The sequence below is a fragment of the Homo sapiens genome, chromosome 11 (assembly GCF_000001405.40).
Source record: "Homo sapiens chromosome 11, GRCh38.p14 Primary Assembly".
NCBI classification, from domain to species: Eukaryota; Metazoa; Chordata; class Mammalia; order Primates; family Hominidae; genus Homo; species Homo sapiens.
The window spans coordinates 16,910,258-16,937,173 of NC_000011.10; the positions used below are offsets into that span (position 1 = coordinate 16,910,258).

General features: G+C 45.7%; 1 protein-coding gene and 1 non-coding gene across 33 annotated transcripts in view, besides 2 other annotated features; both read right to left on the reverse strand.

Annotated features, from left to right (window-relative positions):
* Positions 1-26,916, reverse strand: part of PLEKHA7 (pleckstrin homology domain containing A7) — a 237,118-nt gene that overhangs the window by 132,961 nt on the left and 77,241 nt on the right. For 8 of the 32 annotated variants that reach the window (XM_047426439.1, XM_047426435.1, XM_047426437.1 and 5 more), the window contains exon 1: positions 15,269-15,599. The exons of 22 other annotated variants lie outside the window; for them this stretch is intronic. In XM_047426439.1, the coding sequence (XP_047282395.1) occupies positions 15,269-15,351 (83 nt within the window). In that variant the 5' untranslated portion in view covers positions 15,352-15,599. Of the gene's footprint in view, positions 1-3,135; positions 5,093-14,752; positions 14,990-15,268; positions 15,600-26,916 lie in introns of those variants that run through there. 2 more of the 32 variants (XM_047426433.1, XM_047426446.1) reach the window with 2 other exon arrangements.
* Positions 14,409-15,020: an enhancer, noted in NCBI's record as "H3K27ac-H3K4me1 hESC enhancer chr11:16946213-16946824 (GRCh37/hg19 assembly coordinates)". NCBI's record gives its function as "activates a minimal SCP1, AML or CMV promoter by ChIP-STARR-seq in naive H9 embryonic stem cells {active_cell/tissue: H9 hESC(naive)}" and the evidence as "EXISTENCE:reporter gene assay evidence [ECO:0000049][PMID:30033119]".
* On the reverse strand, positions 15,681-15,765 carry SNORD147 (small nucleolar RNA, C/D box 147). Its single transcript, NR_145810.1, has one exon. It is a non-coding gene; the product is annotated as a small nucleolar RNA, C/D box 147 (small nucleolar RNA).
* Positions 25,581-26,092: an enhancer, noted in NCBI's record as "OCT4-NANOG hESC enhancer chr11:16957385-16957896 (GRCh37/hg19 assembly coordinates)". NCBI's record gives its function as "activates a minimal SCP1, AML or CMV promoter by ChIP-STARR-seq in primed H9 embryonic stem cells {active_cell/tissue: H9 hESC(primed)}" and the evidence as "EXISTENCE:reporter gene assay evidence [ECO:0000049][PMID:30033119]".

Below are 26,916 nucleotides of genomic sequence, written 5' to 3' on the forward strand. Positions count from 1 at the left end.
GGAAAGGAGTTCCAGAAAATTAAGCGACTTGCCCAAGATCACACACCTAGAAAGCCCAGGGTGGCAGGCAAATTGCAGATTGGAGTCCAAAGTCAGTGATCTTTCCAAGCTTATTTATGCCTTCCCTCTGTAAGCCAAAGCAAAGATGAGGAGAGAGCTTATATTCAGTGTGACTTCATTTATGTTTGTAATCCAGCTTATTAGCGAAGCTGGGAAGAAGCCAGCTCTGCAAATTTTACAAGTCCCCAAACATAAAAATAAATGTCATGGGATACCACTAGGGAACATCCCTGGAACACGGCTTCCCCCACTAAAGCAACTGGGACAACTGGGTTGCAACTGGGACAATTTTGCCCCCCAGGGGACATTTGATAATGCCTGGAGAGATTTTTGGTTGTCACAACTGGGAAGCACTACTGGCATCCAGGGGGTAAAATCCAGGGATGCTGCTGAACAGCCTGCAATATACAGGACAGCCCCCCACAACAAAGAATAATCTGGCCCAAAATCAACAAGGGCATTCTCCATCTAAGCAAACTAGAGGAGCAGAAAGATGGACTACACTTTGCAAAGAACAAAGCTCCATACAAATATGAAGTGGAGATAACATTCTGGACTTGGCTTTGAGTTCTTCCAGGCTTGGCTCCAGCTGTAATCTACTGTGTGATCCTGGGCAAGTCACTTAACCACTCTGTCACATTTCCCGACTGTAAAGCAAGAGTGATGTGACATTTTTTAACTGAGTGATTCTGAAACATTCCTATATCTGATGACTTGGCATCCTGGCTAAAATGCAAATTCCTCGGTTTTATTCCCAGGGATTGTGCATTTTTAACAAGCACCCAAGAGGAATCTGTTATAGGTGATTAGCAAATTGCAGTTTGAAACAGCACGAGGAAATCAAAATGTGTGTATCTTTTTTCTAAGCAGGATTTGCCAGTTTGGGGAATGGCATCATCAGCACCCCAGGTGTTAACCCGCAGGCCTCCTCACCTGTGGGAAAACTACAGGGGTTCTCTCAAGGGAGCTTCAACTTCTCTAAGGCTGACAGGGCCAGGGAGCAGGCCAGCCATGAGACAGAAGCTAAGGGGCAGCTGCAACCACAAAAACAGCCCTTCAACCTGGGAGGCTACTCTTGGAACAAAGCTCCAACCACAAACACCCCAGAGGGCATCGGAGAAGGGGTAAGACTCAGGACATCAAGTCGTGTGCATTAGCCAAAAAGGAGTGCAATCTTTCTCAGTCACAAAAAGGAACCCACGGCCAAATCCAAACACACACAGCCAAGGTGCTTATTCACTCATGGCAGTAGTCTTGTCCCTTATTGACTCCTCTGTAAAGAGGTCTCTACAACATTCAAGAGGAAACTGGCAGAAGTGAGGTCTCGGGGATAACAGAGAGCCATGCAGGGTTGAACACTCACTGCAGGCACCCACCTCTTTGACCTGTCTTCTAGACCCAAACTGAAAAGCCATCCTCAATTCACTCAGAGCTCTTTCCCCACGCTCTCCCACCTGCTCCAAAAGCTTGAGAAAAAAGTTAATCCAGTCTCTGTGCTGATGAATCAAATAGAGACACACTCATATCCTGCTTCTTCCTTTTTATCTTTAACCTAAACCAAAGCATCCTCATCCCGTCCACGGCACCTGCTTAATTACCAAGCAGAGCGACACAGCCAGAGCACACCCTGGTAACAGAAATGGGCACAAGATACATCTCTGGAGGCTTCCCATCAAGCCAATCCCTCACATGAAAGCCCTGATGCAATGCTCTCATTTGGCACTTTACCCTTTCTGCTTCCAAAAAGGATGTGGAGTAACCTACTGCTGCAGATGTCACAGGCTTCTACTATGTATCTTCCCATAAAGGGAAACTGCTGATAGGGTATGGCAGACACACCTTACTCCTTATTCAGTGGAATGTTTCTAAAATGATGCCAGAGCCCCAGTCCAGACCAAATAAATCAGAATCTCTGGCACTAGGTCCCAGACATATTTTTTAAAAGCTCCCCAAGGCATTCTAATGTGCAGCCAGGGGTGGCACTCACTGGGCTAAGGCCTTGCAGTGGGGACTTTGGCCTCCAACTTCAACCCACTAAGCTAAAAGTACAGTGACATTCAGCACCAAAGAGAATTTGGTATAACTATAAAGGGAGACAGAAAAAGCTTCCCCTCTTCAAAAGGATGAATAATACTCTGACATGGATATTTTAAATGGGAGCTGAAGAGCAGAGAACTAGCTTCTTTACTGAGTGCCCAAAACCACTGGGTTTTGCCTCTTAAATGCTGACTTCATTTCAATCAAGACCTACACTGTACGAGACACGGAAGGAGGGAATAGCAAAGTGTAAAACAAGGCATCTCATCTTACGTGTGTAGAACTTCCAAGGACAAGCTGGGAGCATCAAGCAGTTAACATTAAGGCAGGATCTCCAGGTGCTGTGATAGAGGGGAGGGCAGGGAGCTGGAGGTCAGTCAGCCCAGACTGGGTCCCCGGGAGGCTTCAGGCTCCATCTCCTCTGGGCTTCTAGCCATGCTCAGATATTCTCACAGGTGCTGCAAGGACTCAATTCCCAGACTCTTTCCTGTGTGACTCGCTCCACCCTGCTGGCCAATTGCCAGCCAGCTCTAAAATGCCTAAGTGAGGGGACACAAGGGGCCTCTTGCTGCCCATGAAGTTGCAGCTATATTCATTTCTCTTCCAAATTAACATCCTACTGCTCCATAATAAAGCTGTCAGCTCTCAACAATGGACCCACGCTAAGAAAGGTGGCCAAGGCTGTTCTGGTAGAGGGCACAGCTGCTTTATGCCAAGGGTGGGAGGCCCAGGGTGGGACCTTTCCCTCCCACAATGACAGCCGGATTTCCTATTACCAGAATGTTCTCAAACGCCCCTCCTTGCCTGGCCATCTTCCTTCACTGTACATTTACCGCTTGGCCAATGCAATTGGGGCTGAAATGCAATTAGTCCCTGCTCCAGCCACATTTTTTTTTCCCCCAAAGAATGAATCTGATAGACCCACAGCATCCAGAGGAGAGTGCCACTCTGAATGCTAATTGCCCCCACAAGTTCTGCAGAGGGCGCGGGAGATGCTGGCCCGCACAGCATGGGCACTCTAGGATTCAGAAACCCTACCTGGTGTTATCAGCAGCAACTCGATGCAAGGACTGCCCTCCCAGTCTCGACAGCAGTAGCCAGAGACCCTCAAATTTCCTCCAGGGTAACATAAGGCTGGCAGCTGGCGTCGCAGTGGTCACGGGAGAGAGGTGAACAAGGCTGCCTGCAGACAGTGCGCAGCTTTGCTCTGTTCCACTCCACTGAGGGGAAGCGACAGCAGGTGAGGATTTAAAATGCAGCAGATGAGATTTAGGTTAGATTCACAGATGAACTTCCTGACAGAGAGAGAAGCACTGGAAAGGCTGACCCAGTACTTAAATTTCACTGGCAAACCACAAGAGGCTGATTGTACTGTCCGCCAGGAAGCAAGTGAGCAGCAAGGAGGCAGCCTTCTGTGCACAATGGTCAGAAGCAGGGACCTCACCCAAGCTGGCCTGCAGCCGCCTCACCACACCATAACTTTTTTGCTTTTTAATATAAGGTAAATAGAAGAGTCCACCAAAATACACTTTTAAATGTGCTTATTCTTTGATCTAGGAATCCCAGTTCCAGGAATTTAAGAAAATCGTTCTTTAAAAAGTGAAATATTTTTATGTATTTTAGGAGAAAAGTAGAAGCAATCTAAATGCCTAACTATGGAACAGGGAATGATTAAGAATATTATGGCATGTGTGCACCACAGACTGTTATGTACCAAATAAAAATGTTCTTAAGGAATATGTAATGATCTGGGAAATACACATGATATCGTAAGTGCATAAAGCATATTTAAAAAAAAAGCTTATGTGCATTTGAAAAAAGAAGAAAGGGAAATTTACCAAAACGTTAGCAGTAATCACCCCTGGACTTAGAAGTAGACATTTTTTTCTTTCTTGATACTTTCCCAATATTCTAAAATAAGCACATTATTTGAATAATTAGAAAACATCGACATTTAAAGTGGGAAAAAAAAATCAGTCTCATCTGTGACGTACCTCAGCGCCATAAATCTATTTCATCGGCACAGCCATTATTCCCAGAAAGCAAACCGGTGACACTCAATCTCGTACTTGGCAAGACAAACATTCTCGCTTCCAAAATGGCCCTGCGTACCCACTGCAGCCACCAGAAAAACACTGATCAGCATCTCCTTCCAGGAAGCACAGGGTCTTCCCCCTCAATAATTCATGGGGGTCTCATTCTATGGCCAGACCTTCCTTCACATCCAACTACAATGTGCCTAAGTGAGTCTGAAAGGCAAGGGAGAAATGTGGAATCCTGCAAAGAATTGGGACTTATTGGATTAACCCCGGGAAATACTAAAGTGATCTAGAGTTCACCACTATTTATCAATGTCCACTGCATACCAGGAAAGGGACAGGATGCTTTCACATGCTCTGCAACATGGGAATCATTAGCCCTGTTTTACATATGAGAAAATGGAGGTTACGGAACTCCAGCCAACTTGCCTCAAATCACACAGATGGTTAAGTGGCAGGGCTGGGACTAAATGCTTGTCACTTGACCCCAAGACAAGAAAGGTTTTTCTCCTCAGCAGCCTCCAGCATTCATGTCTTTGGAGAAAACATGATGCAGGCCACACCTCTCTCTCCTAGACTTATACCCCACTCCCAGTGCCCTGAGACAGGCCACTCTGCTGTTTCTTGCCCACTTTCTATCTCCACCACTACCCACAGATGCAAATATAATAGCCCCATGTGGACACCTCAATGATCCCCTGTGGCCGAATTCCCCAACCCACCTCAATGACCCTTAAGGGGATGGGGTTCACTATCAAGGCCCTCTCCAGAGGTGTCTGAGACACGTTGCCTTCAGGCAACATTGCCCTGAACTCACAACATCTCTGAGGCAGGCTGGCCTCTTATCTCCTTTTACAGACAGGAAAACAGATTGGTAAGTAGGTTGACCTGCTCTAAGTCTAATAAGAAGCAGACCTAGGACTAGAACTCAGGTCCTCTCATATCTGGCCAAGTGGACTTTTTTATTTTTAATTTATTATTATTATACTTTAAGTTTTAGGGTACATGTGCACGATGTGCAGGTTTGTTACATATGTATACATGTGCCATGCTGGTGCGCTGCACCCACTAACTCGTCATCTAGCATTAGGCATATCTCCCAATGCTATCCCTCCCCCCTCCCCCCACCCCACAACAGTCCCCAGAGTGTGATGTTCCCCTTCCTGTGTCCATGTGCTCTCATTGTTCAATTCCCACCTATGAGTGAGAATATGCAGTGTTTGGTTTTTTGTTCTTGCGATAGTTTACTGAGAATGATGATTTCCAATTTCATCCATGTCCCTACAAAGGACATGAACTCATCATTTTTTATGGCTGCATAATATTCCATGGTATATATGTGCCACATTTTCTTAATCCAGTCTATCATTGTTGGACATTTGGGTTGGTTCCAAGTCTTTGCTATTGTGAATAATGCCGCAATAAACATACGTGTGCATGTGTCTTTATAGCAGCATGATTTATAGTCCTTTGGGTATATACCCATTAATGGGATGGCTGGGTCAAATGGTATTTCTAGTTCTAGATCCCTGAGGAATCGCCACACTGACTTCCACAATGGTTGAACTAGTTTACAGTCCCACCAACAGTGTAAAAGTGTTCCTATTTCTCCACATCCTCTCCAGCACCTGTTGTTTCCTGACTTTTTAATGATTGCCATTCTAACTGGTGTGAGATGGTATCTCATTGTGGTTTTGATTTGCATTTCTCTGATGGCCAGTGATGGTGAGCATTGTTTCATGTGTTTTTTGGCTGCATAAAGGTCTTCTTTTGAGAAGTGTCTGTTCATGTCCTTCGCCCACTTGTTAATGGGGTTGTTTGTTTTTTCTTGTAAATTTGAGTTCATTGTAGATTCTGGATATTAGCCCTTTGTCAGATGAGTAGGTTGCGAAAATTTTCTCCCATTTTGTAGGTTGCCTGTTCACTCTGATGGTAGTTTCTTTGGCTGTGCAGAAGCGCCAAGTGGACTTTCTACCGCAGAAAACCATGCTCAGAACATGGGCTCTGACACCTAAAGACCTGGATTCGAATCTCAGCCCCACTACTTACAAGCTGTGTGCTGTTGGGCCTGATTAACTTAAGTCTCATTTCCCTCAATCATAGGATGAGGAAAACAGTCCCTACCTCAGGCAATTGTTTTGAAGATTAGATCGGACAATGTGTAAAAAAGCCACGGCAGTGCCTGGAACAATCAACTCTATTATCACACAACCCTGAAGAGGAAACAGGACTTTTCAACCTATCTCCCCAATTATGCAAGGCCCAAAAGGCTTAAGTCTGAAAACAGCCACAGAGACTGCACCAATTTAGATGGAACCAGCTTTCTCCCTTGCAAGGACTGCCAGTAAGCTCCACCTAGTTTTCTGATCTGACTGAGATGACATTGATGCTCTTTTTTTCCCACCATAAAGGCTCTTCCCTGCCCACCTTCCTCCAACTTATCCTCAGTGGCACCCCTGAGGTCAGGCTGGATTAGGTCCCACAGAATCCTGGATTAATAGCCCTATTCGGACACTACCACTATTATCAAAAGTGGCTTTTGAGGCCGGGCACGGTGGCTCACACCTGTAATCCCAACCCTTTGGGAGGCCGAGGCGGGTGGATCAATTGAGGTCAGGAGTTCAAAACAAACCTGGCCAACACAGTGAAACCCTGTCTCTACAAAAAATACAAAAATTAGCCGGGCTTGGTGGCAGGTACCTGTAACCCCAGCTACTTGGGAGGCTGAGTCAGGAGAATCACTTGAATCCAGGAGGTGGAATTTGCAGTGAGCCAAATTCACGCCACTGCCCTCCAGCCTGGGTGACACAGCAAGACCCTGTCTCAAAAAAATAAAAAATAAAAAATTGGCCGTTGACTTGCCTGTCTTCCCCACTAGAATGAGAGCTGCTTGAAGGCAGAGATATGCTGTATTCACTGTTCATCTTCTGTGTCTATCTATATTAGCTTCCTATTGCTGCTATAACAAATTATCATAAATTTAGGTACTTATAACAACACAAATTTATCATCCTAAGGTTTCGGAGGTCAGATATCCAAAATCAGTCTTATTGGACTGAAATCAAAGAGTCAGCAGAGCCGTGCTCCTCAGGAGGCCCTAGGGCAGAATCCATTCCTTGCCTCTTCCAGCTTCTAGAGGCTGCCCACATTCCTTGGCTCAAGGGCACAATGCTCCAACCTCTACTACCCTCCTCATATTTCCTTCCCTTACTCTGATCTTATAAGGACCCTTCTGATTACATGGGCCCACCCAGATAATCCAGAATGATCTTCCCATCCCAAAGTCCTTCCCTTCATCATATCCGAAAGTCCCTTTTCCCATATAAGGTAACATATTCACAGGTTCTGGGTATTAGCACATGGACATCTTTTGGAGGAGCCCATCATCTGGCCCACTCCACTATCATAGCACTTACCACATGGCAGATGCACAGTGACTGTTTGCCTTGTGCAAGAGGCCATGCTCCATGTAGTCCTAAAGCACTAAGAAGTTGAACCTTCTTGGTTGGTTTAGGAGGGACCCAAAGCTTGGATCCCATTGTTCTAGACAAAATGTCCCACAAGGGGCCCTGAAAGTCATTCTTCTCTCTATAACCTACAGCTCCAGGTTTCTTCAGCTAACGTGGAAGCAGCCCACATCTCACCTCCACAGCTCCACTCTAGGTAAATGCCTACTAGTTGATTCTCTGAACTCTGAAAGTATGGATAGATGACTCAATCTCAAGAGTCATTCACAATCTACATCTTCCTGGGGCTCACAATTCACATGGCGTCATCACAACACGGACAGAAGCAGGATAAGGGTTCTGTCACTGAATAGCATGAGTCAGATTTGATAAATACTGCACATTCTTTAAAATTCTATCAAAATCAAGCCTTAAATTAGCAGGCTACAGCAACAACCTAGCAACCCAACCACGTTCATTTCCACTTGAGCCTGGTACCTTCAAATCCCAACAGGAGTCAGACCTAGGAGGAGAAAGGTCCTAGGCTCACTCACCTTGTGGAAGGCAGCAGGTGGCTATAAGGGGCAACTGAAGCAGCCCAAGCTGGGATCTGAACCTTCACTCTCCAACCTATCCTCTGTAACCTTGAGCTTGTTAATCAACTTCTCTGAGCTTTCTCAATATATACACATCAGTACAATGAGCCCGTTGATACTGACCAGCTGGTAAAATGCCCAGCAAGTAGTAGGTTTTCACTAAGGGTTGGCTCCCTTCTACTTGCCCCTGAAATAATAAAGCTGGCCAGGCAGGTGAATCCATTAGGAGGAAGTGTAAACTGGTGTAAATGCACTGTTTCCCTAACATTAACCACACATTGCTCACACCGCCTCTGTAATTTCTGCCACATCTTGTCCAACCTGTACTTCCACTTTTTTCCTTTAAATAGACCACAAGGACTCTAGCTATATCCTAAGCATAACAGCTGCCAAATGATGACTTTGATGTTCTAGTTATATTTTTCTTCAAACACACATGAAAAACATTACATACTCACATAAAAAAAAAACTATTAAGAAATATTCACCCCTAGGCCCAGCACGGTGGCTCATGCCTATAATGCCAGCACTTTGGGAGGCCAAGGTGGGTGGATCACCTGAGGTCAGGAGTTTGAGACCAGCCTTGCCAAGATGATGAAACCCCATCTCTACTAAAAAATACAAAAAAATTAGCTGGGCTTGGTGGCAGATGCCTGTAATTCCAGCTACCTGGGAGGCTGAGGCAGGAGAATCGCTTGTACCTGGGAGGCGGAGGTTGCAGTGAGCTGAGATCACGCCATTGCACTCCAGCCTGGGTGACAAGAGTGAAACTCTGTCTCAAAAGAAAGAAAAGAAAAGAAAGATTCACCCCTGTATTACCCCATATCATTGCACACTTTGGGAAACTCTGGTGAAAAGAAAACTTGGGTTCTGGTCCTCACTTAACTAAAAACTATTCTGTATGCCCAGGTCACTTCTCTTCTCTGAGACTCAGTTTTCTCCAGTAAGAAAATAAAAAGAACCAGATGCAGTGGCTGGTGCCTGTAATCCCAGCTTCTCAGGAGACAGGCAGGAGGATCACTTGAGGCCAGGAGTTCTAGACCAGCCTGGGCAACATAGTGAGATCTCACCTCTAAAAAAAGAAAAACACTTAGCCAAGCATGGTAGCTCACACCTGTAGTCCTATCTTCTTGGGGGGCTGAGTCAGGAGCCCAGGAGTTGGATGCTGCAGTGAGCTATGATCACACCACTGCACTCCAGTCTGGGTAACAGAGCAAGACCTCATCTCTTAAAATTAAAAATTTGAGAAAAAAAGAAAGTAAAAAGGATAGTCTAGATAACCTTTCCATTCCCCTCCAGTTCCAATACTCAGATTTATTATCAAATGACCCAAATAAACAAAAGATTCTAAGCAGGGAAAAAAAAGACAACAAATATTACTCAATATAATTAGAATCAGAGAGAGAGAAAGGATGAGAGAGGGAATGACAAAGAGATATGTACCATCTCTTCCTTCTTCACAAAGGACTTTGACTTTGAGCTTCCCTTCTCTGGGATTTGTGATACCAGCCGTTTTTCATAACAGAGGACACTTACTTTTGTAATGGGACAACCTGGATTTGGATCACAGCTTGGGTGGCTGCTAGTTTTATCACCTTAGGCAAACTAACCTCTGAGTTTCTACAATTATAAAATGGGCAATGCCTCCTTCACAAGGTTGATGGGGGATTAAATGTGAGTAACTTGTATAAAGCACATGGAAAGGGCTGGCTATCAGAAATGTTTGTTATTACTACTCTACCTGTACTAATTGGTTGAGTACACATCTGCCTCTCCCACTTAATTGTAAATTCCGAAGAGAGGAATGGCTTGCTCATCTCTTTCCCCTACAGTGCCTAGCACAGTGCTTTACATAAAATAAAGAGCTTCACCTGAATTTGTAGAGAATCAAAGCTTACAGAAAGAATGCCTGTTCCAAGGGAGGAAATTAGATATGCCCAGAGATGTATAAATAACAAGCAAATAGCAAATCTCCCCTGACAAAAACAAATGTCCCCATTTCTAAACAAACAAAACAAAGAGAAAAGGTTTTTCAAAATCCATCAAAATATGGACAGTGGTTGTCTTTGGTGCTTGGTCCTTAATTTCCTCCATCTTCTTTGTAGTATAATATTCTAAATTTCCCACAAAGTGTACATAATAGGAAAAATTATTTAAATTATTGTCAGGACAAATAAGACCACTTGCCTCTGAGTCCGAAAAGTCAGGGACCTGGAGTCCAGTCTCTGCCATTACATATCTGACTACCTGACTTCAGACGTGTCACTCCAAGTTCCAGTAAAGTGACAGGAACTATGCCCACTCTGACGACACCAGCAGGCTGCTACAGGAGCAGAGTGCACAGCTCCATGCCGTGGAAACTCTTTCTTTGCTAACCAGAGCCCTAGAATCTCTTAAGCACACCTAGAGCCTCACCCGTGGTATCTCACTTTTTATTCCAAACCAGACCTGTATTGCTTTATTGGTGTCACACCTGCATAAATGTTGTTCATGTAATAAAAAGAGAAAATAACCCACAAAGTGACAGCCTTTTTGTAATCTTATAAACATGCTACAAAAGTAATGAGAATGAATTCGGGGCTGTAATCATAACTCCGTTAATGAGCAATGCCTGTGTCTGAAACACCACCAGCTGGGAGCCCTTATTTTCGCAGGGCGTTTTTTTGTTGTTGTTGTTCCTTTTACATTTTTTTTCTAACACATTGAGAACTTCAGACCTCTGTTCACTGGCAGATCATCTGGAACAGAGCAAAACAGCTTACCAGATGCGTCAGAAAGAAAGATGGGACCTTGAAAACTCTGAGCCTAACAGTCATCTCTAGACCAAACATTTCCCCTGCCTAAACTCAAATCAAACTAGCAACCTCTTTCTTAAAAGGAACTACTAGCTAGGGTGAGTGCAAAAAGGGTTACAATCCCATGCAAGTGATGCTTAAAAGTCACAGACAAGAAGGCACTGTGTCCATCAGCCCCACAGACCCTATGGATGAGGGGGCAGAGAGGGGCACAAAAATAGCAAACTTATTTTACAAATTTATGTTCAGACTTAGCCTGGGATATTAGAATAGGTCAGTGGAAGAAAGGCAGCATGCAAACATATTTGTAGGAACTTTAGTTTATTCCTACTTTGGGAGATAGGTCTTCAGATGCATGACTTCCAGTAAGGAGTCAGCTATCCAACAATAACAATTACAATCCCTAACAGCTCAACTTCTTCATTAATGAAATGTGGACAATAATTAAGTTGCATCATAACTTGCTGTGAGAATTCAATGAGATAATATATGAACATACTGAGATCACTGTCTGGTATCTAGTTAGCTATCAATAATATGCAATGCTGCATTACAGTTGAGCATACGTTGTCCTGTTTGAGCATAAGAACAACTGTGTGAGGCAGGTTTTATTATTCTCAAAGGACACTGGCTCAAAGAGATAAAAGGACTCGTCTAGAGTCACGCAGCTAAAATGTGACAGGTATCCAGTTGCTCTTAGGACTAATATTCCCTAATCCTGGCTGGACCAGAGAAGGCTGCTTCAGCAGGAGTTTGAGCAGGTGACCTTTCCAGTTCAGCTATGCTGTATGCCTGCGTCAGAGATTCAGGGTTCTCCAAGGCCTCTTTGAATATCTGGAGGCTGGAAACAGGTTTGATATGGAAGTCAGATGAAACCCTTCTAGGACAGTTGTCTCATCTGAACCTAGGAGCCCAGGTATGGCCTCTGGTAGCAGCACAAAATACATTCTTATTTTCTACATTTAAAAAACAAAACAAAAAAACCTCTCAGCTAATGATCCAAGGACTCTCTAGCTGCCTTAATTAATGAAAAATAATAGCTATCAATTGGTAAGTACTGCATTAAATCCTTTACAATCATCTCATACAATTCTCACAATTGTCCTGAGGATGGGGGAGTGGCCTTGTCCCTACTTAACAAATAGGCAAAGAAACTGAGACTCAGAGAAGCTGAAGGACACAAAGCTAGTAAGTAGCAGAGACTGAATTTGAGCCCAAGCCTCCAAAGAAATTGCCACACTGCTTCAATTAACCCCTCATTCTCTCTCCCCTCATTCCTGGGTACTCACAGGGTATAGGCCTGGAACACTGGCTTCTTTTCCCTTCACCAGATATAGTACAAACCCTAGGTTGGAACTTTGTGCTTTTGCAAACCAAGACTGCAAGTGCTGCCAGGGTCTTTAGTCTATTTCTCCTCCCGATCTTGCCTGAGTCAGAACAAACCATCAGAGCACCCTTCTCTTAGCCTAGGGAGCTTCTCCTGCCACCCATCCCAGGTAAAGGCTCCCTGCCACAGCTGCTACTGAGGAACTCAGTAACCACCATCAACCAAGTACCTCTTTTAAGAGGGAAGAGAGAAGACAAGCTAAGGAGCTGGTGCAGAGGAGAGACAGGCTGCCCCTTTCCCCTGAGAGCAAGGGGAGTCAGGCCCCAGGACAGAGGCCTCCACTGATGTTGGACTCACCATAGCCTGCTCCATCCAGTGCAGACATTAGGAGCAAGACACATGGGGAATTTCCAAGCTAGCCCTACTCAGTCCTCTGACCTCACAATCCATAGTGACCATGACATCCTCACCCCACCATTCCACAGTCTGATACCTGCCTCACTTTCCCCCTAACCTATAACCTCTGATGCCCTCTCACTCTCAGTGCCCTAGGGACCCCGCTACCCACCTACTCTTTCCGGGAATCACTTTGGGTAGTAGCTGCCCCAGGCCATCTTGGCTGGGCCATTATCCACAAATATGCAGCCATGGCCAGCAGGCCAAAAGGTGAGACGTTAGACGGCTGGCTTGAGCAGACTTTTCATAATAGAAAAACCTTGTTCCTAATCAAGGCCATCTTCAAATCCTCAACTCACAGAGTACCAGCAGCTCAGGGCAGGGTTGGAGAAGGTGGCACTCTACAAGCAAGAGCCCTGTGTGTTAGGGGAGGGCTGCCATGGAGTGTACACACCGCAAACCCAGGTGGCAGGGCAGGTGGCACTGATTCCCCAACAAACCAGGGTTTCAGAGTCAACAGCCTCTTTAAAGTCAAGCCTTCCTTCACTCATTTTCTCCCTGGAAGGCTGGAGTGAGGTAGGGACTGGAGCAGCCCAGCCCATGGAGAGCAGAGCAGAGAGGCAGGCGAACTCAGCAAACCAAGTCACTGAGAAAGGGGATAGAAAATTGGGAGGAGGGGGAGGGAGCACAGCAGCCTGTCTGGAAGCACCTCTCTGATACACAGCCCACACCCAGTGCTAAAATCTGCCTTCCTGCGCTCCTTGCCTGCAGTAAGCCCACCCTATTCCCCACACTTCTTGCCTTTGCCCCTCCCCGCCTTACATAAACTCAGCCGCCTCTTGCACTCCCCAGAATGTCAACTTCCAAGACATGCTCATCTTCCTCATCGCACTTACTCTACAGTCCAGTCCTTCCACCCTTCCGTTAACAGGACTGAAAACTCTATCCTAAGCCAGCACATAGCTTCCCAGGTCTCTAAGGCACAATGCTACCAGGAAGGCTGAGTTTCACAACTATTCTAAGGCCCTGGCTGGGGTAAAAAATCTCCTCAGGTCTGTCTCTAACCAACCCCCGTCCCTCCCACCTCCCCAGAGCCCAGCCTGGTCCACAGCCCTCCATTTAAGGCTGGGCCCTTCCACTCCCACTCATTAGGGCCCCACCCAGAAATACCCCAGCACACAAACAGGACACCTTGTACAACTATCAGTCTTAGACCCACCCTCTCTCTGATAAGGACAGGAGGGAAACTGAAACTGCCTGAGGGAGGAGCCTCACTCCACCTTCTCTATTTCCCACCTGGACCTTTCTGCTCCCCTCCTACTGAGGGGCCTGGGAGAGACAAGTCAGGTGACACCTGACAGACACCTCTTCCTCTGCCCACAGCCCCCAGGCCTGAAAATACACCCGAGGGCACTGGCGGAGCACGCAAGGAGGTTTTCAGGCACCATGGCTGGGACAGGGCAACATTTTTCTATTTTTCAGAATGTTTCAGACTCTACCTGCTGAGAGGACTCAGGTCTCCTACACCTGGTCTGGAAGCTGCCTTGAGGAAGGGGATGGGAGTGAGATGCATTTAGGAAGGCAAAGGAGGAGGGGTACAGACGGGTTCTAAAGTAGATTAAAAACTGAGGGATGCACCCTTTCTGCCCTCTGGGAGGAGATGGGGCTGTCCCACCGACAACGAAAGGGGAACCCTTCGGGGGCAGTGCTGGTGCCTTGGGGGAATGCCCTTATCCTTCTAGGGAAATAGACTGCAACACCTTGGGCTTAAACCTTGCCTTGCCAAAGCCAAAAAAGAAAGGGGGAGGCCTGCAACCCACCAATCTCATTTTCAGATTTCCTCTCTCCAGCTTAGACACATTAATAATTAACTTGCCTACCTAGGAGCTTGCCGGCGTTGCCATAAAAGATGAGTAATGGCACCGGAGTCCCAGCCCTATGCCCGCGGGCTTCAGGGCTCGGGGCTGGGACGGGCGCCTGGAACAAAGCCTCTGCATTCCTCCGGGAAGGTGTGTCTGAAACCAGAGCTGTCACAGGCGAGAAGCTGACCCCTTACCTCCTCCGTAGCCGGCTCCTGGCAAGTGTGGGTGTAGAGGAAGGGCAGGCGCCCCTGCACACTTGGCGGAACGCTTGGCGGGGTCGCCTTTGCCCACCTCCCGGTCCCCACCCTCTCCACTGCTGGCCAGTTGCTGTCCCCGCAGCCCGCACGCCTGCGGGGCCGTGGGGTCCCCAACCACAGCCGATTTTGGGAAGCGGCGCTCTCTGCTGCTGAGGTAATCCTGTTAACAAGAACGCAGTCTGTACTTGGAGACCCGATTTTTAAAAACAACAACGGCTCCCTTGGCGTCCTTCCCGAGGAGTAACCCAAAGCCGGGCGCCGGCTCAATGAATTCTCTTGCAGAAACTCCAGCGGCCAGCTACGGCTCCCTCGCTCATGGCTGGCCGGGGACTAGCCGGCTCCAGTCACGCCCGCGCCCAGACACAAAGCACCCCCAAAAGGAGCCCGTGCACCCTGCGCCCTGTCGGCTCGACAACCCGCAGACCCCCCGAAAGTTACAGCGCGCACACACACCTGCAGGCCCCCCTTGGTCGCTCCTGCCAGACCCCCAGCGTGGCGGGGCACGCGTCCCAGGGAGGACAGCTCCGCGGCTCCATGCGACTGCTTCGCGAGCCCGGGCGGGCCACCGGTCAGCGGCGCTGGGCTACGGAGCGCGCCGGGGCCTCAGCTCGCCCGCGGCGCATCGCGCGCCCTCCTCCTCCTCGCCGGGGCCTTTCCGAGGAGCCCACACCCACTTGACATCAGCACCGATCAAAGCACGTGGCGCAGCGCCAGACAGCGGACCCCAGCGGTCCAGAGCGCGCCCCAGGTGCTGCCGTTCGGCCAGGACGGCGCGTCCGAGCCCAGCACATTCCTTTCCTCGTAGAGGATGCTGCAAGTGGGAGGGGTAGAGAGGCTGAGGAGGGGGAGGGAAAAGGGCGGAGGGGCAGGACCTGCGGCCTCAGAACTGCGCTGTTCTGGCGTCTAGCCAGACACCAGCAGACCTGTCATCCGTTGCCGCAAGTGCCCATCGGCTGGGAAGACCAGGCTGCAGGAGACCCGGGTTGCTGTCGTCTCCCCTCCAAGAGTCCTGACCTTGAATGCTCTTCCCCACAATGATTCAAGGAGTCTTCTAACAATCCCTGGTAAATTGCGGGAACGGATTCTGACAAGCCAGGAATGAAGACTTGGTTGGATGTGACTGCGACCTCATCGCCCAGGAGGCCGCTATCAGGCACCCAGCGAAGGAGACCATACCCTCTGGCTTGTCTCTGCCCTCGCAACCTCAACTATGTCTCTTTTCTTTCTCTCTTTTCTCAATGCCCTTGGCAATAAGGGATCACTCTCCTGGTCCTGCAGGCAATCAGAACTACAGCACCTCTCAGCAGCCCACACACACTTCTAATTCATTCATTAGCACCCGTCCAAATATTCACACATGCAAACATTTAAGGGTTAGTATATGCCAGGAGCAACAGATAATCTTCCTACACTCACAGTGCTTCTACTCTAGTCAGGGAGACCTATATTAAATACAGAACAAGGTAATTACCATTGTTGCGAGGGGATTACAGAGGTGTTATAAGAATGCACCAGGGAGCCTTAAGTCTTGGCAGTCAAGAAAGGATCCCTGACGAAGTGATACTTGACAAAGCTGAGACGTTACCCAGTGAGTGGGAAAGTTCAGGCAAAACCACTGGGTATTAAAGTGTAAGCTTGCTTCCATTCACAGGTGGAGATGATTAGGCAGAAGTGGAAATGCCATGCTAGGCACATCTGGGCTTTTATCCAGGTGGGGCATAGGGTGGCTCCCAGGCCCTAGAAGAGAGCCTGGCTATCTGTCCAAAGAGGCCCTTATGTCTGTTTTCTCATCTCTCCCTGATCCATGGCTGTCCTACCTCTGCAAAAGAGCGCTGTACAGGAATTTGGGAACCTTCACTTGAGGCTCCAACTCAGTCATCAATTTGCTGTGTGGCCATACAGAAATCCCTTCCACTCTCTGGTATCAGTGTCTCTATCTAAAATAAGAGGTTGGGTCAGGCGTGGTAGCGCTAGCCCGCAGCCATAGCTAGTCAGGAGGCTGAGGCGGGGGTGGGGGCAGGGAGGGAATGGCTTGAGCCCAGGAATTTGAGACTGCGGTGATCTGTGATGCACTCCATCCTGGGTGACAAAGCGAGATCTTGTCTCAAAACAAAATAAAAATAAAATGAGAGGTTGGATTAGGACATTGTTTCTCCATATATTTTTTTAAACCATACTTCCTTTTGGATAAATATACAAATGCCATTCCCATTCTTCTATGGTGACCAAATTATTTTCCAAATCAAAAATTATAATAGTGAATACGCTTTTTAAAACTATATATGCCCTTTAAGTATTAAGCAATATTCTGTTTTTAGATGTCTGCTGAAGATAGCTTGGAGGCCAGAGTAAAGAAATGGCCTCCAAAGCCCACCCTTCTGTTATCTTTCCCCACCCTCCCCCACAACCCAGCCACCAGCACTTATCATCTCTAGCCTCGTTTCATGTACTCTTTCCAGGATAAATTGGCCAGACAATGAATAGAAGCCCTGGGTCATCCAAAAAAACAAAAAAGGCATGCTATGCAAGACTCCTTTGAATAATAACTTCCAGTAATGTTGGCAAGAAGACACTTTGAAGGAAGCATGCAATGACCTTGGGGACAATTTGGCAATATGAATTAAAAGGCTTTAAAATGCTCATATCCTGTGAACCATCAATTCCGCAACCAAGAATTTATCCAGAATACTTCATTGTGGATGAGCACAAAGATTTATCCGCAAGGATGTTCATCTCATCATTTTTATAAGAGCAAGTAATTGGAAATGATCTAATTGTACGACAGGAAATTGGTTAATAAACTGTGGTACATGCTTACGATGGAATACATACAACTTTTAAAATGATATTTTAAATACTTACTGTTGAATAAAACAAAATGTTACAAAACAAATCATCCCAATTGTGTGTGGAGGGGGAAGGGGGGGTCTGTTGGGGAGGGAGGTGGTAAGCACCTGTGTTTATTTTTCTTACTGGTTGACTCAGAACCTACTATCTGAGGTAAAATGTGATGCCACTATGGCATGTCATCCTCACAACAAGTAAATTTATCAACCCATATTAAAGTATAGAAGAACCTTAACATTAAAACAGAATGTGACGGTTCACGCCTGTAATCCTAGCACTTTGGGCATTGCTGAGGTGGGAGGATCTCTTGAGCCCAGGAGCTTGAGGTTGCAGCGAGCTATGATTGCACCACTGCACTCCAGCCTGGGTGACGGAGTGAGACTTTGTCTCAAAAACAAAAACAAAAAAACAGAATGAAATCAACCTTACAGGCAAGCTGGAACAGAATTCAATTTTCTACTACCATCTACTCACCATTAGGGGTTTGATAGTAATCTTAAAGGTAGATTGGTTTTGCCCCCAGATTTTTTTTTTTTTTTTGTATTTTTATTTTGAGACACAGTATTCTTGCTCCATCATGTTAGTGCAGTGGTACAATCACAGCTCACTGCAGCCTCGACCTCCCAGAGCTCAAGTGGTTCTCCCACCTCAGTCTTCTGAGTAGCTGACACTACAAGCATGTGCCACCATGCCCAGCTAATTTTTTTTTAAATTTTTTTAGAGATGGGGACTCACTATGTTGTCCAGGCTGGTTTCAAATCCTGGGCTCAAGTGATCCTCCCGCCCTGCCCTCTCAAAGTGCTGGGATTACAGGCATGAGCCACAGCACCTGGCCCTCATGTAGATTTTTGTTGCTCTTAAGCCTAATTTTAGTGTGCATAAAAATTACTGTCCATGGTAGTTTAGGGTACATTTGACTTTATGAGATTTTTTTTTACCATACACTATAATTTTAGAACCTAATCATTGTTTGAAAGTTCAGTTAATAAATAAATAAATAAATAAAAGACTACTAGAGGGATATTTACCAAAATGTTAACAATGTCAGAATTACAGTTGATTTTTACTTCCTCCTTTGGAATTTTCTGTGTTTCTGAAGTTGTCAGACAATAAACATATAGTACTTTGGTAATCACAACATAAAATGCTGCTTAAAAACAACTGCATTTAAAAAACTCTCCAAAAGATAAACTAAAAAGAAACTATGCCTTGACTTTTAAAGGGGTGACTGACCATGCCCTTCATATTCCTTCCCTCTGCAAGCTTTGATACGGCCCCAGTTGGTGCCCCAACACCCAAGGACAGAAAGTACATCGTCGCTAGGATACCATGCAGGAAAAACTGGCAAGAAAATTATTTTTACATTTACCTCCTGGGCTATGCTTATAATAATGCTCAGAAGCTTAAACTAAAGGTTCCAACATGAAGCAGCCATGACCATCAGCTAATGAGTCTGTCCCCTACTCCCAAAACTCTCTACCAAATATTCTGGGTTCTTAATAAGCCGAGAGCATATACTGCATATACTCTTGGTCCTAAGAACCCAAAACTGTTCACCTTGCTTTTCTCACACCTGGTGTGCCACCAAGCACACAGGCAAGAATCAGCTGAATAAGAGCAAGCCATAGATAAGACTGGGCTCAGTAATAACTGGTTGGGTGATCTCTGCCTCCCCCGCTTCTTGGTAAATAGCCTAATAAAGCCCCTACTTTCCTTTTAGGGGGTGGATGTAAAAGCTTTTGAACAAAAGGAACTGCACCACCTCAGTGTAGGGGATTATTATTTAATGAAAGTATGTGCTGGGGCTGGGCGTGGTGGCTCACGCCTGTAATCCCAGCACTTTGGGAGGCCGAGGTGGGTGGATCACAAGGTCAAGAGATCGAGACCATCCTGGCCAACATGGTGAAACCCAGTCCCTAGTAAAAATACAAAAAATTAGCTGGGCGTGGTGGCGTGTGCCTGTAATCCCAGCTACTCGGGAGGCTGAGGCAGGAGAATCACTCGAACCCGGGAGGTGGAGGTTGCAGTGAGCTGAGATTGCGCCACTGCACTCCAGCCTGGCAACAGAGTGAGACTCCGTCTCAAAAAAAAATAAAAATAAAAATAAAAATAAAGTATGTGCTGGGATATTTTGGGGAGCAGGGAGCTGGCCAGTTGTGGATGCTTTGGCGCAAGGCTGTTAAACTACAATTTGCTTCACATTTTGAGCTTTCCAAGAACCTAGAGGGCTCATAGACCAGAGGAAGGAACAGAGGTAAGAAAGACAACTCTGTTGACTTTCTCTTGTGGCATTACCCAGGAACTCTTAATCCAAGGACTGAAGGCAGATAGGATTAAAACTCCAAGCTGAGGGCCCAAGTTTCTCAAAACAGTATAGGTAGATGGGCATGGTGGCACCTGCCTACAGCCCCAGCTACTTGGGAGGCTGAGGAAGGAGGATCTCTTGAACCCAGGAGCTACAGATTACAATGAGCTATGATTGTGCCACTTCACTCCAGCCTGAGCAACAGAGAAAGACCTTGTCTCAAAATCAAATAAATAAAAAATAAAAATACAATAGGCAAAACCACCAGGACAGGATCTAAAGATAAGGGATGCTTGTATTATTTGACCACTTTAATTCAATAATCATTTAATCCCTTACCAGTCATTGCAAATACCAACATTCTCTGCTCAAAATAAAACGCATGATTTCCAAGCCAGACAGAGCTGCCATTAGGTTACATTTTAAATCCACCTAGAGTCTAATCAAGCTAATTTTACTGTTATTCTGTCTATTAAAACATGAGGCCTTTATTTAGAGAGTGAACAGAGGGGAGGAAAATACAAACATTAAACGCTGGGAATTTTGATCATTCCAGAATTGCTTCTGGGAGGAAAGTAACAGAAACAAACCTGAATTTTAAAAATAATTTTAACGGGACCAAATGCATCAGAAGGTCCACCCACTGGAGAGCTGGCCAGTGCCTTAGAACCAGGCAACAGCTCAGGGACAGAAATGAGGCTCCCTGCCGCACCTAAGCTGGAAACATGGAGCACACCACCAAGGAAGACAACTTGGGCCTAGCACCTGGCACCTAGGGGCCATTAAGGTGGGAAAAAAGCCTACTTGCTCCATGGCCAGAGACCAAAAGCTATCTAAATACAAGTTTTAATAAAACAATTAATAAATAGCTTTATTGATTTTTTAAAATCAAAGAACAAAACCAAATCACAAAACACCTAATAAGCTAGAACAACTATGGCCAATGATCTTCATACTTATATTTTAACCAGAACAACCCCACGTTAGAAATGAAGATTTCAGGGGCGCACCACCAGAGAATTGAATGCCAAAAGTCTAGAGTGAGCCCAGGAATCTGCATTTTAGCAAACCCTCAGTGATTTGGCTGCTTGTGGTCTGGAACCCACACTGAGAAATTCTAAGACAAGAGGCCAGAAAGACCTAATATACCTGTCTACCTTTACCTTCTAGCAAGAGTCACCTAAGGAGGCTTGAATTAATTCATAATTGAAGCTGAGGCCAGGTACAGTGGCTCACACCTGTAATCCCAACAGTTTGGGAGGCTGAGGCGGCCAAATTACTTCAGGTCAGGAGTTCAAGATCAGCCTGGCCAACATGGCAAAATCCTGTCTCTACTAAAAATATACAAAACAAACAAACACAACACAAAACAAAACAAAACAAAAAAAACTTAGCTGGGCATGGTGGCGCGCCTGTAATCCCAGCTACTTGGGAGGCTGAGAATGCCTTGAACCCAGGAGGCAAAGACTGCAGTGAGCCGAGATTGTACAACTGCACTCCAGCCTGGGGCACAGAGTGAATGAGATTCCATCCCCCCCCCCCCAAAAAAAAAAAAGGGAAGAAGAAGAAGCTGAACAGAATCCAACTGGAACCTCTTGGGATATCTTTTGGATTCTTAGTTCTCCAAAATTACAAAACTAGGGCACGATGAAAGGTGCCAGAAAGAGGAAAATACAAGTAAAGAAAGCATTGGCCACACAGGAAGGTCTATAAAACTGTTAAATTTTAAAAGGATGAAGATGGTATACCTTTGACACCTGCACAGTCTCATCTTGTACTCATAAGCCAGGTATGAATGCTCTCAACTCACCAGTGTTATCACCTATAAACTCCATGAACTCTCATAGATGTGAGTTAAAATCTAGGCTCACCCACTTACCAGCTGGGGGACCCTGGATAATTTTTTTTCTTCCCTGAGCCACTATTCCTCAACTCTAATGTGGGATTAAAAATACCTACCTCTGTAGTATTATTATGAAGATTAAATAACAGAATGGTATAATAGCATGGGACACAATAGTACTAAATAAATGATGGCTATCATTATTCATTCCTTTTTTTTTTTTTTTCTGAGACAAAGTCTTGCTTTGTCACCTAGGCTGGATTGTGGTGGCATGACCATAGGTCACTGCAGCCTCCAACTCCTGGGCTCAGGTGATCCTCTCACCTCAGCCTCCCCACCCAGTAGCCAGGACTACAGGTGCACACCACCTCACCTGGCTAATTTTTCAATTTTTTTTGGTAGAGACAGGACCTTGCTATGTTGCCCAGGCTGGTCTTGAATTCCTGGACTCAAGCAATCCTTTTGCCTGGGCCTCCCAAAGTGTTGGGATTACAGGCATGAGCTGCCACACCCCACCTGTCAACTAATAAACATTTATTTTCAGGCCTTCTACAAATCATGACTAGTAACCACCATAGATGTAGTAGTGACAGAAGAGACAGAGGGACAGAAATACTGATAATAAATAAGCAAACAAAATATTTCAGATATTAACATGTGCTATGAAGAAACCAAACTGTGATATGTGCAGGTCAGGGTATGTATCAGGTAAGACCTCGCTAAGGTGTGGTATTTAAGCTAAGACCCAGGGGAAGAGCTGTCCTGGCACAAGAATAGATGGGAATAAACTAAGTTTGTTCCTGGGAAGGAAGAAGGACAAGTGAGGCTGGAACTCAGTGACCAGTGGGAAGGGTAGGAAAAGATGAGGTAGGGGAGTCGGGTTAGCCTTATAATACCTAGTAGGAATTTGGGTTCTCTTCCAAAGACAATAGGAAGCCATGGAAGGGTTTAAAAGAAAGGAGGCATAATCTGATTTGCTTTTCAAAAAGATTTCTGTATCTTCTATGTAGAGGATGGCCCGGGGATTAAGGACGATAAAAACCTAATAGTTACTCGGTGCTTAGCTATGTGCTCTGAATTGTCCTAAGAACTCTGTATGTATGATCTCCTTTAATCCTCATGAAAACTTTTTGAAATGAGTACTATTATAGTCCCAGTTTTACAGATGACAAAACCCAGGCATAAAGAGGTCAGGTAACTTGCCTATCACAGTAAGTGGAGGATCCAGTATGCAAAGCCAGTCTGACTACAGTTCCATGCCAATGCCTCTGAAAAGAAGTGGGGAAAAGCAGGGAGATGAGCTAAAGAGACTGCTGCAGCAGTACAGGCAGGAGAGGACAGTGGCTGGCCAAAATGGCAACAGTGAAACTCCTGGGAGGGATTCAGCTTTGCCAAGTGTGTTAGTGGTAGTGCCAACAGGACTCACTGATGGGATTTATGACTGGAGAGAAGGAAAGAGAAAAACAAGACTTCCAGCGTTTTGGTTTGAGCAACTGAGTGGATGCCAGCACTGTTTCCTGAAATGAATAAGCCTGGGAGAAGTACAAGTCAAAGGGGAGGAGAGGTGTTAAAATTGATCAAGAACTCTATTTTGGACATGTTAGTTTGACATGTTGATTAAACGTCCAAGAGGAAAAGTCACAAAGCCAGTGAGCTATGGTGGTCTCCATTCAGGGAGGGGGCAGAAGATGTAATCAGTGGCATCTCATGGTCTTGTGAATCCTTCCTGGGTATAGGGAGAAAGTGGCTCTCCCAGCTAGAGACCTTCAGTGGCTTGTAACAAGCAAGAGCAGAGCCAAATCGCAGCACAAGATTGTAACTTGTTCAAGGCTGAGAGCACGCTGCCCAGGCAACCCTCTGTGATCCAGCAAAGTCTGCCTCCCAGCCCCATCCTCTGCATCAGCTTCCTGGGAGCCTATCTGAGCAGCATTCTTTCAGGATGACCTCCAGCAAACCAGGCCTCCAGAAAGCAACAGGAAGCCCTCTGGTCCTGGAGGAGAGGCTGGAGACAGGAGACGTGGAAGAAAGATAAGTTATCGTGCCTCCTGCCGGCTTGGGAGAAGAGGACTTCACCGTCCCCTTCCACTTCAACACTCCCTTTTTTGGTCCTCCTATCACTGCAGCCCATCAGGGTATGAGGTCCTGGAACCACTTATAAGGGCCTGAGTGCCATGATAATGAAAGGGTTTCCAAAATAAGCTTCCCAAATGCCCTGCTGGCACTCAGGCTACAGCATTTCCAGAAAAATGCCAACCTCGCTTGATAAAATACTTTTAGAATTGACACCTCCTTGGCTCAGATGAAGTGGGTGTGTGCTGGGGGTCAGGTAGAGGTTTGGAGGGGAAAAAAAAAGCAATTTTCAAAGTTCAGCTGAAATGTCAGGAACATGAAGCAGCCCATGTTTACACAGAGCTTTCCAAAACCCAGAGTAGCTTCCAAGTCGCTTTTTAAAAAATGGCTACATCAACTTGTCCAATGAACTGGCTTTTTACCTAAACAGAAACAGTACCAGGCTATTGCCATTCTCCTTGTCTCCTTAGGCTTAATCTCCTAATATAATTTATATTCCTATTGATCCTGATTGTTTTATTTTGTTATCCATATTTCACCCTTTTCCCATAAGTTACCTCAAATCCACTGTGGAACAGGATAAGCAATAAATGAATACTCAGTGTATGGTCTTCATATTCCTGGATATTAAATGTTCAGATTCATGTAATTAATAAAGGTTGTTTACTGTGGATATTAATTAGAGGTTAAGGGGAGGAAATATCCTAATTAATATGTAAAATACTTTGAAATTTTTATCTCTTACAGTAAAAAAAAGAGTCTGGTTATAATTAGCACCTGTATTTTTCATACTTTTCTGTCCCTAATTGCCTAAACAATAATTTCTGGGGAAAGTAGGTGAAATCTTAATGTACTACATGTGAATGGGCGATTTTCTGGCTCTTACCATTCAAACTAGGAACAAGACGCCAGTTCAGTAACTGTGTTACTTCTTCCAAATAAGACTTGTCAAAGCTACTGTGGGGAAATTGGGAAAAAGAACCTAAATCTATCCACAAATAAATATCGAATGTGAGGCTGGGCATGGTGGCTCACGCCTGTAATCCCAGCACTTTGGGAGGACAAGGCAGGCAGATCAACTGAGGTCAGAAGTTCAAGCCCAGCCTAGCCAATATGGTGACACCCCGTCTCCACAAAAATACAACATTAGCTGGGCATGGTGGCATATGCCTGTAATCCCAGCTACTCGGGAGGTTGAGGCAGAAGAATCGCTTGAACCCGTTGCAGTGAGCCAAGATCGTGCCATTGCACTCCAGCCTGGGTGACAGAGTGAGACTCCGTCTCAAAAAAAAGATTAAATGTGTCGGTCCTTTTCTAGTGTGGGGAGGGGTAAAGGCATGTCAGTGCCCACTGCTATTCTCTGGTGTCCTTTTAAAGGTAGAAACATGCTTTAAAATATGAAATAGCCAGCAGTCTGGAAACACAACTTTGGAGACATAAAAGTTATTAGGTTTTCCAAATCACTGATATGAGCCAAAATCCTTACTGAGACTAGGGGGCCAAAGATAGAACTGAAAGCCTTGTGACATTTGCAAACACCACCCTAAGTGCCTTCTTCAGGGATACTCTCTCTACATAATCCTGAATGTTGCAATTATTCAGATCCCCATGTGCAAGCAGCACATGTTTTTGAGGCTCATTCTCAAGGGACCAAAGAAAAAGTGGTATTTTTGTCTAGCATTTTTTTTATCACCAGAATTCACTATAACCAGTATCTTGGCACTCCAAGAGCACACAGTGATGACAGATGCTTATAATGTTCACCCTGAAGACTTGCAACCTTGTGGAAGAACAGACGGATCAAATTATGCCTTGTTGCAGTTTGAAATGTGTTTTACTGCCTTCTAATATTTTGAAGACTGACAATCTATGCAGCACACGGTAGGTGGCAACACTGAGCCAGGAGAACATCCCATTTGCCAACCTTGCTGAATAGAGAAAGTTTAATATGATAATGAACCCCTTTTGAAAAATCAGGTCTCTGCAGGGCACAGTGGCTCATGCCTGTAATCCCAGCACCTTGGGAGGCCGAGGTGGGCGGATCACAGGGTCAGGAGTTCAAGACCAGCCTGGCCAACATAGTGAAACCCTGTCTCTACTAAAAAATACAAAAAATGAGCCAGGCGTGGTGGCAGGTGCCTGTAATCCCAGCTACTCGGGAGGCTGAGGCAGGAGAATTGCTTGAACCCGGGAGGCGGAGGTTGCAGGGAGCCGAGCTTATGCTATTGTACTCCAGCCTGGGAAATAGCGTGAGACTCTGTCTCAAAAAAAAAAAAAAAAAAAAAAAAATCAGGTCTCTATTAGAATAATGACAACAGGGACAAAGCAATTAAAAACACATGCCTAACAAATTTGGAATCAAAAGCACCATCAAATGTACTTCCTGGCATGTTGTCATTTCCCACCTCCACTCTCCCAATCATTGGGCAAATCCAATTATATTCCTGGAGACACCCGAATCATGCCTCTTCTCTCCCTTTCTCTCCAGTGGCTTTTATGAAAATAATATTCAACTTTAATGCATCTGCACTTCAGGAGACAGTGTGACAAGAACAATAAACACATTCACCATGTGCAGAAACCAGGGAAAATGAGTTCTGAGACTATCTTTGCCAACCCCAGGTGTGGGCTTTCTTTTCCCTAAACTCAGGCGATATTGGAATGTAGCAGCTGTCAGAAAGCAGCAATGGCCTGTGCCAGAAATACCTTTGCTGAGCTGCTCTAATTGCCAAGAGATAAGAACCCATAACTCACACAGACACTTGTAGCTCTGGCTCAGAAACAGCAGGCAGAAAGGAAAGAGCATGCCTTCCAGCAATGTGACCTTGGGCAAGCTGTTTCCCTCCCCCTGAGCCTCAGTCTCCCTCATCTTTGAGGACTACCAGCAACATGTATCAAGTACCAATTACAGGATTGGATTTATAGCAGGTTAATAACCTGGAGTCGTTGTTATTAACAATCTCCAAATTGTTAATAACCGTGGAGTAAAATGAGCTTGGAGATGGCCACCAAGCTCTCTGGACAAGAGACAGTTTG